This window comes from Homo sapiens, chromosome 9 (genome assembly GCF_000001405.40).
Source record: "Homo sapiens chromosome 9, GRCh38.p14 Primary Assembly".
Lineage (NCBI taxonomy): Eukaryota > Metazoa > Chordata > Mammalia > Primates > Hominidae > Homo > Homo sapiens.
This window is the reverse complement of record NC_000009.12, coordinates 36470512-36482960: the sequence shown is the minus strand read 5'-3', so window position 1 is coordinate 36482960 and position 12449 is coordinate 36470512. Positions and strand designations below refer to the sequence as shown.

Genomic DNA, 12449 nt, shown 5'->3' with positions numbered 1-12449 from the left:
CTCAGAGAAGGGGCACCTTTTCTAATCCACGCAAAGGTGATCTGTGATCTAGCACTGCTCTGCAGCTTTGGAACTGTCAGTCCAGCTGTAACTAACAGTTTCATCCATATGCATTGTGGGCTTTACCATGAGGTCTGGGTTAGTGCTTGCCCTAGGGGCTTCAAGAGTTCTCCATGTGAACTTTTCATGGGAAGGGGCTTTTCATCACCATGCTCAGCTGAACCAAAGAGCACAGCTTAAAATAGTAAACTTTGTTATGAGGCTGGAGAAATATGTACAGAATAAGCTATTTAGAAAATACCACTGTCAGCCTGGCGCAGTGGCTCACGCTTATAATCCCAGCACTTTGGGAGGCCGAGGTGGGTGGATCACCTGAGGTCAGGAGTTCAAGACCAGCCTGGCCAACATGGTGAAACCCCGTCTCTACTAACAATAGAAAAATTAGCTGGGCATGGTGGCGCATGCCTGTAATCCCAGCTACTTTGGAGGCTGAGGCAGGAGAATCGCTTGAACCCGGGAGGTGGAGGTTGCAGTGAGCTGAGATCACGCCACTGCACTCCAGCCTGGGCAACAGAGTGAGACTCTGTCTCAAAAAAAAAAAAAAAAAGGTCTGGGCACAGTGGCTCACACCTGTAATCCCAGCACTTTGGGAGGCCGAGGTGGGCGGATCACCTGAGGTCAGGAGTTCGAGACCAGCCTGGCCAACGTGGAGAAAGCCTGTTTCTACTAAAAATACAAAATTAGCCAGGCGTGGTGGCACATGCCTATAATCCCAGCTACTTGGGAGGCTGAGGCAGGAGAATCGCTTGAACCCAGGAGGCAGAGGTTGCTGTAAGCTGAGATTGCACCATTGCACTCCAGCCTGGGCAACAAGAGCGAAACTTCGTCTCAAAAAAAAAAAAAAAAAAAAAAGACAAAAGTATCTGGTAAATGGAGGAGAGAAAGTATAGTACCTATGTGCCACATTTGCGCTTGTCTTCTTACAGTGCTCACTTGAAGGGGTAAATGCAGTTATTTTTCTCTTCCTATTTCCCCCTGCACTAGCATTCCTGAAGACCTGAGGCTTTTTAGCTAATTTTGAAAATATTTACCCATTTGTATTTTCCATTAAGTGGTTGTTTACGCTTCCTGCTGTTTCATTTTTTCTTGGAGAGAGAGGAGGGGGGAGTACAAACCAAGGACAAGACCGGACTTCCTACTGCTTTTGGAAATAATGGCAGAGTTTTTCAGGACAGTTGTCGTGGATGAATGCTGTTCTGGGGGCTCAAGGGAAAGATACATTTGAAGTGGTTTCTGTTGTCTTTTTTATTATTATTTTTAAACATGATTGAGGGTGGTGGGATAGGAAGTTTCAATTTGCTTATGCTGCTGTCTTGGAGTAATTTTTTGAAAGAAATTATATGTTAAAAAACTAAAGATGTTTAACAAAAGTGGTCTTTTGCCCACAGAAGGGAAATAAACAATTCTTACCTGCAGGCCTTACCCAGACTGGTTTCAGTTTTTTTCCTGTTCTACTTAAATGGATATTAGCGCTGTTCTTGGGACTGCTGAGAACAGTTAACTGCAGTGATGTTGGACAGGTGGAAGAGTAGAATGATGGGAGTATATTGGGGTTTATCAATAGTTACGCTATCAAAAGCTATCACTAGCTGGTGTGGTGGCTCATGCCTGTAATCCCAGCACTTTGGGAGGTCGAGGCGGGTGGATCACCTGAGCTCAGGAGTTTGAGACCAGCCTGACCAACATGGTGAAACCCTGCCTCTACTAAAAATACAAAAATTAGCTGGGCGTGGTGGCACGCACGTGTAATCTCAGCTACTTGAGAGGCTGAAGCAGGAGAATCGCTTGAACCCAGGAGGCGGAGGTTGCAATGAGCCGAGATTGCACCATTGCACTCCAGCCTGGGTGACAGAGCAAGACTCTGTCTCAAAAAAAAAAAAAAAAGAAAGAGAAGAAAAAAAGCTATCACTGCATTTTCTGCTTTTGTGGTAAAATATGTATAGAAATAAGAGAGTGAGATATTGTGAGTTTTGGTGTATATACTGATCCTTTGACTTTGTTGAGAAATGTAGGGAAGTAGTAGTAAGAGGACCAAATATATACATGGAAGGGGCCGGGCGTGGCGGCTCACCCCTGTAATCCCAGCACTTTGGGAGGCCAAGGCGGGTGGATAACTTGAGCTCGAGTTTGAGACCAGCCTGGGCAACATGGTGAAACCCTGTCTTTACTAAAAATACAAAAATTAGCTGGGTGTGGTGGCACTTGCCTGTAATTTCAGCTGCTTGAGAGGCTGAGGCACGAGAATCGCTTGAGCCTGGGAGGCGGAGATTGCAGTGAGTTGAGATGGTGCCACTGCCCTCCAGCCTGGGGAACAGAGTGAGACCCTGTCTCAAAAAAAAAAAAAAAAAAAAAGAAAAAGAAAAAAACTGTATACATAGAATAGCAAGCAGTTAGGTAGTAGGACAATTTGTAGTGCTTTTGGGATGTTCTTGGAGTTGAAAAGTTGGCTGTCCATTCTGCTTCTGCACCTTGGATTTTAGTGGCTGCAGATGCTGCATGCTGACCTTCTGTTGAAATTTGTTTTATTGTCAGAGAACTAAAAAGTGAGCAGTTTCTCAGACTAAACAGAAGTAGAGTAGGCAGAAAGTAAAACAGGTATTCATTTAATAATCACATTTACAGGGCCAGTCGCAGTGGCTCACGTCTGTAATCTCAGCACTTTGGGAGGCTGAGGTAGGTGGATCACTTGAGCTCAAGAGTTTGAGACCAGCCTGAGCAACATGGTGAAACTCTGTCTCTACTAAAAATACAAAACTTAGCTGGGTGTGGTGGTGTGAACCTGTAGGCCCAGCTACTCGGGAGGCTGAGACAGGAGAATCACTTGAACCTGGGAGGTGTAGCTTGCAGTAAGCCGAAATCACGCCACTGCACTCCAGCCTGGGCGACAGAGTGAGACTCCATCTCAAAAAAATAAAAAAATAAAAATTCACATTTACAGATAGAGAAAAGTTGGAACTCATACTTAAAGAGACAGGGTCTTGCTATGTTGCCCATGGTGGTCTTGAACTCCTGAGCTCAAGTAATCCTCCTGCCTTGACTTCCCTAAGTGCTAGGATTACTACAGGAATGAGCCACTATGCCCGGCTGGGACTCATAATTAATAAAAAGTATTTTTCATTTGGCTTTTGTGCTATCTTATTAAAACTTTTTTTTTTATAGATTTGTCTTCCTATGTAGATTTTTATTGCCACCTCAATACATCTTTGAGCATCTACTGAGTGCCAGTAATGCCAATACCAACCACTGGTTAATTAGGATGATAGCTTTTGTTGTCAAAACTTCCTCACTTAAGGTCTTGAGAATCGCATAGAGGGGTGCAATTCAAGACAGTTATTGCTTGCTTTTCTCCCAAATTTCTTGCTTCCTTCTGCTCCCTGGTCTTCTGGGCATGGTGATTGTGCCCATCTGCCAAGATAAGCCCTGCTTCTCTCCACCCCCACATGGGAGGAGATGCAGAAGCTCAACAGAACCCTGGCTGGTCATTACAAGTAAATTCCCACAAACGATATTGAACTAGAACTGAGGGCCACCATAGTGGCTCCAGTTCCTCTTCCTCTGTTGCTACCACCCACTCTTTTCTGTGGAGCCTGGAGGGCACCCTCCCTCCACCATTATACAAAGAAGCTTTGTGCTCTGAGGATGTTCTAAAGGCGGGATTGCTGTAATTATAATTCCCTAGGCACAACCAAGTAGTGGGGGCAGGCGGGGTAAAGATGGTATCCAAGTACTTGTTGGTAGGGAGAAGTCAGGCAGGGATTAAAAATCATCTGGAGACAGTACCAAAAGTGGATAATGGAGCGTTGTTGTTAATAGTGACAGGAACGTGTTTAAGTGAATACATTTCAGAGTTTTAAATTATAATACTTGCAGCTTTAAAAAAGGACAAGACTGAGCTTGGAACCTTTCTCTTTAAGTCTGAAATTGTAACTTAAAAGTACTTTAGAGGAAAATATATAGAAATCTGGGTCTACTTTGCCTTATGTTTGTGTTACCAGAATGATTGATTGCCCACAAAAGCCGAATACATAACTTGCTTACTCTCCCAGGGATGCGCCCACTAATCTTTTTTTTTTTTTTTTTTTTGAGACAGCGTTTCACTCTTGTTGCCCAGGCTGGAGTGCAGTGGCGCCATCTCGGCTCACCGCAACCTCCGCCTTCTGGGTTCAAGCCATTCTCCTGCCTTAGCCTCCCGAGTAGCTGGAATTACAGGCATGAGCCACCACGCCTGGCTAATTTTGTATTTTTAGTAGCGACGGGGTTTCTTCATGTTGGTCAGGCTGGTCTCGAACTCCTGACCTCAGATGATCTACCCTCCTCGGCCTCCCAGAGTGCTGGGATTACAAGTATGAGCCACCGTGCCCGGCCAATCTTTTTTTTTTTTTTTTTAAATACTTACATTTTTGCGAAGTGATTTCTCCCTATTGCTACCAGAAAAAAAATCAGTTTATCTGGGGATGTATGCTTAATAAACGCTCTCTTTTTTTTTTTTTTTTTTTTGAGACGGAGTCTCGCTCTCTCCCCCAGGCTGGAGTGCAGTGGCGTGATCTCGGCTCACTGCAAGCTCCGCCTCCCAGGTTCACGCCATTCTCCTGCCTCAGCCTCCCGAGTAGCTGGGACTACAGATGCCCGCTACCACGCCCGGGTAATTTTTTGTATTTTTAGTAGAGATGGGGTTTCACCATGTTAGCCAGAATGGTCTCAGCCTCCCAAAGTGCTGGGATTACAGGCGTGAGCTACCACGCCTGGTAATAAACACTTATATCAACCATTCTACGTCATGATGTGCTTCTAAGAAGTCTTGTTGGCAATCTTTTAGTGAAAATTTTCTTCTTAATATGTTAATTATTACTGTATTACTTGGTATCTCAAACTGCTGTTTTCTGTTTGTTTGTTTTTTGTTTTTTGAGACAAGGTCTTGCTTTGTTGCCCACTCTGGAGTGCAGTGGCAGTGGTAATCATAGCTCACTGCAGCTTCCATCTCCCAGGCTCAAGCAGTCCTTCCACCTCAGCCTCCTGAGTAGCTGGGACAATGAGTGTGACAACTACGCTATCCTTTTTTCTTTCTTTTTTTTTTTTTTTGAGACAGAGTCTCCCTCTGTCGCCCAGGCTGGAGTGCGGTGGTGCGATCTCAGCTCACTGCAAGCTCCACCTCCCAGGTTCACGCCATTCTCCTGCCTCAGCCTCCCTGTAGCTGGGACTACAGGCGCCCCCCACCACGCCCGGCTAATTTTTTGTATTTTTTAGTAGGGATGGGGGTTTCACCATGTTAGCCAGGTTGGTCTCGATCTCCTGACCTCGTGATCCGCCTGCCTCAGCCTCCCAAAGTGTTGGGATTACAGGTGTGAGCCACAGTACCCGGCCAACTACACTAACCTTTTAAACTTTTTTGTGACATGGAGGTTTCACAATGTTGCCTAGGCTGGTCTCGAACTCCTGGGCTCAAGTGATCCTCCCACCTTGGCCTCCTAAAGTGCTGGGATTATAGGCATGAGTGACCATGCCCAGCCTGTTTTGTTGTTGTATTTTGTAAGAAATGCACCAAAGAGTTGATTGCAAGGTAATCTTTTTTTTTTTTTTTCCAGACGAGTCTTGCTCTGTCACCCAGGCTGGAGTGCAGTGGTGTGATCTTGGCTCACTGCAACCTCTGCCTCCCAGGTTCAAGCAGTTCTCTGCCTCAGCCTCCCGAGTGGCTGGAATTACAGGCGCCCACCACCACGCCCGGCTAATTTTTTTGTATTTTTAGTAGAGATGGGGTTTCACCATCTTGACCAGGCTGGTCTTGAACTCCTGACCTTGTGATCCACCTGCCTCAGCCCCCCAAAGTGCTGGGATTACAGGCGTGATCCATCGCGCCTGGCCAATAATCTTTAGACTTTAAGACTGTAAACTTCAGGAGTCCATTCTCAGGATAAGGGTGGCCCTTTTTGTTGCTGTAATTAGCATTTACGTCTATGGTGTACAGGTAGATAGTGTGTACTCCATGGAAACCTATGGCTACTGTAAGCTGTCCTTTCCTCTAATTACTTGGAGTCAAGTTAGGAGTTAGACCTTTATTCTTACCCGCCAGCATAATTTTGTCCTGGATTAGGAAACAGCTATAATCCCAGGACTTTGGGAGGCCAGAGTGGGTGGATCACCTGAGGTCAGGAGTTCGAGACCAGCCTGGCCAACATGGTGAAATCCGGTTTCTACTAAAAATACAAAAAAAAGTTAGCCGGGCATGGTGGTGGGCGCCTGTAATCCCAGCTACTTGGGAGGCTGAGGCAGGAGAATCACTGGAACCCAGGAGGCGGAGGTTGCAGTGAGCCAAGACCATGCCATCGCGCTCCAGCCTGGGCAACAAGAGCTAAACTCCATCTCAAAAAAAAAAAAAAAAAAAAAGATTGCCCGATAGTCCATTAAAAAGATATTGCCCAAATAATCCTTTGAAAAGGCTGTACCAATTTGACAGCTACATTTTATGAGACTTTAATAAAATACACAAGGTTTGGCTGGGTGGGGTGGCTCATGCCTATAATCCTAGCACTTTGGGAGGCTGAGGCGGGCGGATCACCTGAGGTCAGTTCAAGACCAGCTTGGCCAAGGGGAAACCCCGTCTCTACTAAAATACAAAAATTAGCCAGGCATGATGGCGGGTGCCTGTAATCCTAGTTATGGGGGAGACGGGAGACTCATTTGAACCCGGGAGACCATGGTTGCAGTGAGTCGAGATCACGCCACTGCACTCTAGCCTGGGTGGCTGAGCGAGACTCAGTCTCAAAAACAAAACAAAAACCTGTTTTAGTTAAGTATGTTGATTAGCAATGACTTATTTTAGCTTAATTGTAAACTATTATCTAGGTTATTTGCCTCATTTATAATTTATATTTCTTTCTTTTTTTTTTTTTTTTTGGAAACAGAGTCCCGCTCTGTCACCCAGGCTGGAGTACAGTGGCATTATCTCGGCCTACTGCAACTTCCACCTCCTGGGTTCAAGCAATTGTCCTGCTTCAGCCTCCAGAGTAGCTGGGACTACAGCCACCATGCCTAGCTAATTTTTGTATTTTTAGTAGAGATGGGCTTTCCCCATATTGGCCAGGTTGGTCTCGAACTCCTGACCGTGTGATCCGCCTGCCTCGGCCTCCCAAAGTGCTGGGATTACAGGCGTGAGCCACCGCACCCGGCTAGTTTATATTTCTTTAGGGAATTAACCCCTGTCTCTATTTTACTGCTCTCTGTTGGCCACTAAAAAATAATGATTTGAGGCCGGTCATGGTGGCTCACGCCTGTAATCCCGGCACTTTGGGAGGCCAAGGTGGCGGATCATCTGAGGTCAGGAGTTCGAGACCAGCCTGGCCAACATGGTGAAAACCTGCCTCTACTAAAAATACAAAAACTTAGCCAGGTGTGGTGGTGGGCGCCTGTAATCCCAGCTCCTTGGGAGGCTGAGGCAGGAGAATTGCTTGAACCCAGGAGATGGAGGTTGCAGGAGCTGAGATGATGCCACTCCACTCCAGCCTGGGTGACAGAGGGAGACTCTGTCTTACACACACACAAAAAGATAATGATTAATAATTACTAATATTAATAATAATTTGGTAAACATTTGTTGAATGCTTACTATGTACTAGACACAGTGAGGATTTCAGAGATAATTCAGATATGCATCAGTTCAATGATAGATCATGACAGTGTTAGCAGAACAAATGCATTTTTGGGATTGCAAAAACATCACAATTGCATTAATAGTAATAAGATTTTTTTTTTTTTTTTTTTGAGGCAGAGTCTCACTCTATTGCCCAGGCTGGAGTGAAATGGTGCTCTCTCTGCTCACTGCAACCTCCACCTCCTGGGTTCAAGCAATTCTCCTGCCTTAGCCTCCTGAGTGGGTAGCTCGGACGACAAGTGCACACAACCATGCCCAGCTAATTTTTTTATTTTTAGTAGACATGGGGTTTCACCATGTTGGCCAGGCTGGTTTTGAACTCCCGACCTCAGGTGATCCGCCTGCCTCGGCCTCCCAAAGTGCTGGGATTACAGGCGTGAGGCACCGCGCCCGGCCCTGTGTGTGATTTTTCTACCTCTGTTCCTTTGATTGTTACTTCAGCCTATAATGCCTCTTTTCCCTTCAGTTCCTTTTCTAAATTCTACCTATTTTTAAATATCTAGATAATAGTGGTCACTTATTGTGTGCTTATTATTTAAGGTTCTATTCTAAGTATTTTATGTGGATTAATTCATTTAATCCTCACTGCAGTCCCCTAAGGGACTCATATTATACTTATTGTACAGATGAAACTGGAGCACACAGGTTAAACAACTCGCTGGAGATGATACAGCTATTAGGAGTGTTACCTGGGATATGAACCCAGGTAGTCTAATTCCAGAATCTGTATTTTTAGCCGTCATGCTTTACTGCATCTTACTTTACAGATAGCCTCCGAAAACACAGCAAGTAGTTTTGATAACAAAAGACTGAATATAAGCAAAGTTGATCACTATTTTAGCTGATGAAGAGAATTTGCAGTCTTTTGTTTTGCCTTTGTCTCTCCTGAGAAATAACTTTGTTTTTTAAGTTCTGAATTACTATGCTAGGGTTTCTTTTTTTTGAGACGGAGTCTTGCTCTGTCGCCCAGGCTGGAGTGCAGTGGCGTGATCTTGGCTCACTGCAAGCTCCGCCTCCCAGGTTCTCGCCATTCTCCTGCCTTAGCCTCCCGAGTAGCTGGGACTACAGGCGCCCGCCACCACGCCCGGCTAATTTTTTGTATTTGTAGTAGAGATGGGGTTTCACCGTGTTAGCCAGGATGGTCTCAATCTCCTGACCTCGTGATCCGCCCGCCTTGGCCTCCCAAAGTGCTGGGATTAGAGGTGTGAGCCACCGCGCCCGGTCTGTGCTAGGGTTTTAAAAATTGAGGGTTTTTTTTTTTTTTTTTCCCGAGATGGAGTCTTGCTCTATTGCCCAGGCTGGAGTGCAGTGGCATGATCTCAGCTCGCTGCAACGTCCGCCTCCCAGGTTCAAGCAATTCTCTGCCTCAGCCTCCTGAGTAGCTGGGATTACAGGTGCCTGCCACCACGCCCGGCTAATTTTTTTGTATTTTTAGTAGAGACGGGGTTTCACCATCTTGGCCAGGCTGGTCTTGAACTCCTGACCTTGTGATCCACCTGCCTCAGCCTCCCAAAGTGCTGGGATTATAGGTGTGAGCCACCGCGCCTGGACAAAAATTGAGTTTTTAAATCATTCATTACTTGGTCACATCAGGAGTAGGAGTACCTGCATCAGAGTGGTACATCAGAGTGGTACACTTATTTATTTATTTATTTAATATCTTTTTTGAGACGGAGTTTCGCTCTTGTTGCCCGAGCTGGTGTGCAGTGGTGCAATCTTGGCTCACTGCAACCTCCACCTCTCAGGTTCAAGCAATTCTCCTGCCTCAGCCTCCCAAGTAGCTGGGATTACAGGTGCGCACCACCATGCCTGGCTAATTTTTTGTATTTTAGTAGAAACGAGATTTTACCATGTTAGCCAGGCTGGTCTTGAACTCCTGACCTCAGGTGATCCGCCTGCCTTGGCCTCCCAAAGTGTTGGGATTATAGGCATGAGCTGCCACGCCCAGCTATTTATTTTTACAAATGGGGTCTCACTATGTTGTCCAGGCTGGACTTGAACTCCTGGGTTCAAGTGATCCTCCTGCCTCAGCCTCCTGAGTAGCTGGAACTATAGGCACCCCCAACTGTGCCCAGCACTGGATTCTCTTTATTTTTTTATTTATTGTGTTTATTTATTTTTTGGAGATGGAGTTTCGCGCTTGTCACCCAGGCTGGAGTGCAATGGCGTGATCTTGGCTCACTGCAGCTTCCGCCTCCTGGGTTCAAGTGATTCTCCTGCCTCAGCCTCCCGAGTAGCTGGGATTAAAGGCATGTGCCACTACGCCTGGCTAATTTTTGTATTATTAGTAGAGACAGAGTTTTAGCATCTTGGCCAGGCTGGTCCTGAACTCCTGACCTCAGGTGATCCACCCACCTCCTGACCTCAGGTGATCCACCCACCTCGGTCTCTCAGAGTGCTGGGATTACAGATATGAGCCACCGTACCCAGCCCTGGATTCTCTATAAATCAGGCATATTTAAGTTACTTCTTAGAAAAGATCCCATGCTCTGTGATTCTCAACATTAGATCTTAACTGAGTGCTTGTTTGGGCACTTAAACAGATGAAGAAAAACTTCTTGGCTGGGCTTGGTAGTTCAGTATCTCATCTGTATTGTGGGCTTAATAGGTATTGGTGGGCCATCCTGGGAACGTACCATTTAGAAAATGATCTATGGCAAAATGGGCTTCTAAGGTCAAAGCCAGATTATATGAACTTTTGGAATAAGGCCTGTTTTTTCTTTGAGTGCTGCTAACTGCTGGCCAGGGATGTCCAATCTTTTGTCTTCTCTGGGCCATGTTGAAAGAATTGTCTTGGACCACACATGAAATACACTTGAAGAAATTTATGAATTTGTGTTGGGCTGCATTGAAAGCCATCCTGGGCTATGGGTTAGAGAAGCTTGGTTTATGGATACCTAGGAAGGAAAAATGAATTCTCTGCCTTTCATAATTACTAAACTGTGGAATTCATAGGAGGAAGACATTGATTCTATACAGGCAGGATAAAAGCTGATTAATCCAGATAATTGAAGAGTTTCTACACACTCACTGTTCTTAGTTTTTAAAATAACCTTAGGTTTAGACCATATCTAGAGATTGATATGTTTGGTGGCTCTTAAGACATTGTTGACTGTCTTTGCTAATGGCAGGAATGTAAGTCAAGAACTCTTGTAATCGAATTATCTAATATTTTTATTAAAACTGCATATATAGTTGAAAACAAATTGTTATTTTAAAATTGTTTTTTTAAAATTGATATTTTAAAGCTTCAAGTAAAAGCTACCATTATTTGCTAAAAAAAAGAAACATTCCTCTTCCCCAAACAAATCCAAGAAGCAAAGCAAGAAGTGAAAAGATTTGACTTTTTAAAGTGAATTTGTAAATTGGATGCGGTGGCTCACCTGTAATCCCAGCTACTTGGGAGGCTGAGGTGGGAGGATGACTTGAGGCCAGATGTTTGAGACCATCCCAGGCAACATAGCAAGACTCCATTTCTAAAAAGAAGTAAAGTAAATTTATGTGCAACTCATAAATTCTGTGTTGAGATAAAAACTGAAGTTACAATTTGACTCTGGAATGTTTAGTTAGTACTATACATCTTTTGAGTCTAATTGACAGGGTGAGTTTTGTTTTGTTATTTTGAGATAAGAGTCACTATTTTGCCCAGGCTGGCCTGGAACTCCTGGGCTCAGGCGATCACTTCAGTCTCTGGAGTAGCTGGGATTACCGCTTCAGAAGTGATTTTGACAAGTTATTCTGGAACTGTGTTGGAGAAGTTTAAAAAAGGTTGGGGTGGGAGTCGAAATCAAACTAGTTTTACCATACCAGGATCTTTTTGTAGCACATTTGAGATGTAAACATGTTTCCTTTTGAAATTTGGTAGAATAGTTATATTATTTTTCCCAATGCTATGTGATTAAAAACACAAGGCTCAAATTTATTTTTAAGGCTTGATTAAAACCTCTTGTTTCTATGGAAGAAAAGTTATTAAATTGAAAGGGGGCTTTAGAAATTTTAATTCCAAGATTGCTTTAAGAAGAGAGAGGCAAGTCAAATTGGATATGGGCCTCACAGAATTGACCTTGCTACTTCCTGGGTCTGGGAAACTGAGGGGGCTATGTTGCATTGGGGCGGGGCGGAAGCCTGGTAGGAGCTAGAAGTGAAACTGGAAGTGCCTTAAAAAAGCACATCGTTGTGTTAGGCTGAGTCAAGCTGGAATGAGCAGTGAGACAGTACAATTCTTAGGCATAAATATGTACGTAGTTCACCTGTAGATTTGCTGGAAGAGCCGACATGTTTGCAGTACCACAGACCAGAGAAGTCTCAGTGGAGGAAAATGAGAGAGAAGCAAAGGGAGAGATGGAGTTAGGGGCCTTCGGGTTCAGATTTTGAAATAAAATCTATGAGTCTTTGAGGGAGGCAGCAGGAAGTTAAAGGTGGAATACTGGAAATAGTTTTCCTTCCTCCATGCTGTATGGAGATGGGGGCTGCTGCATGGAAGTGGGGGCTAGATGTTGGTGAAGGTGTCCTTGTTCGAGCAGAGAAGGTAAGGTATATCCCCTTGGTTGGTTTGTTTTAAGGTGACAGATTCCTGCTACAATATTAGCAATACAAACAAAGGTTAGACAATCTTGTTAATTTTATTATGCCTGGGGTTAAAATTGAAATTCCCTTATTTTAAAAGAAAAATAGCTTATAACATAACAGTGACATCTAAGCGGAATAAATTTCCATGGCAGTTTAATGGTAGTTGTGTGCTTTC

General features: G+C 44.5%; 1 protein-coding gene across 8 annotated transcripts in view, besides 1 other annotated feature; it reads left to right on the top strand.

Moving 5' to 3' along the window:
• The window catches only part of RNF38 (ring finger protein 38), a 151270-nt gene that overhangs the window by 4709 nt on the left and 134112 nt on the right, over positions 1-12449 (top strand). The window contains exon 1 of one of the 8 annotated variants that reach the window (XM_017014294.2): positions 8072-12233. The exons of the other annotated variants lie outside the window; for them this stretch is intronic. Coding sequence (XP_016869783.1) covers positions 12162-12233 — 72 coding nt within the window. The 5' untranslated portion in view covers positions 8072-12161. Of the gene's footprint in view, positions 1-8071; positions 12234-12449 lie in introns of those variants that run through there. 8 annotated transcript variants of the gene reach the window in all.
• Positions 214-393: a silencer, noted in NCBI's record as "fragment chr9:36482565-36482744 (GRCh37/hg19 assembly coordinates)". NCBI's record gives its function as "represses an EF-1alpha promoter that drives an FKBP-Casp9 reporter gene in an ReSE screen in K562 erythroleukemia cells {active_cell/tissue: K562}" and the evidence as "EXISTENCE:reporter gene assay evidence [ECO:0000049][PMID:32094911]".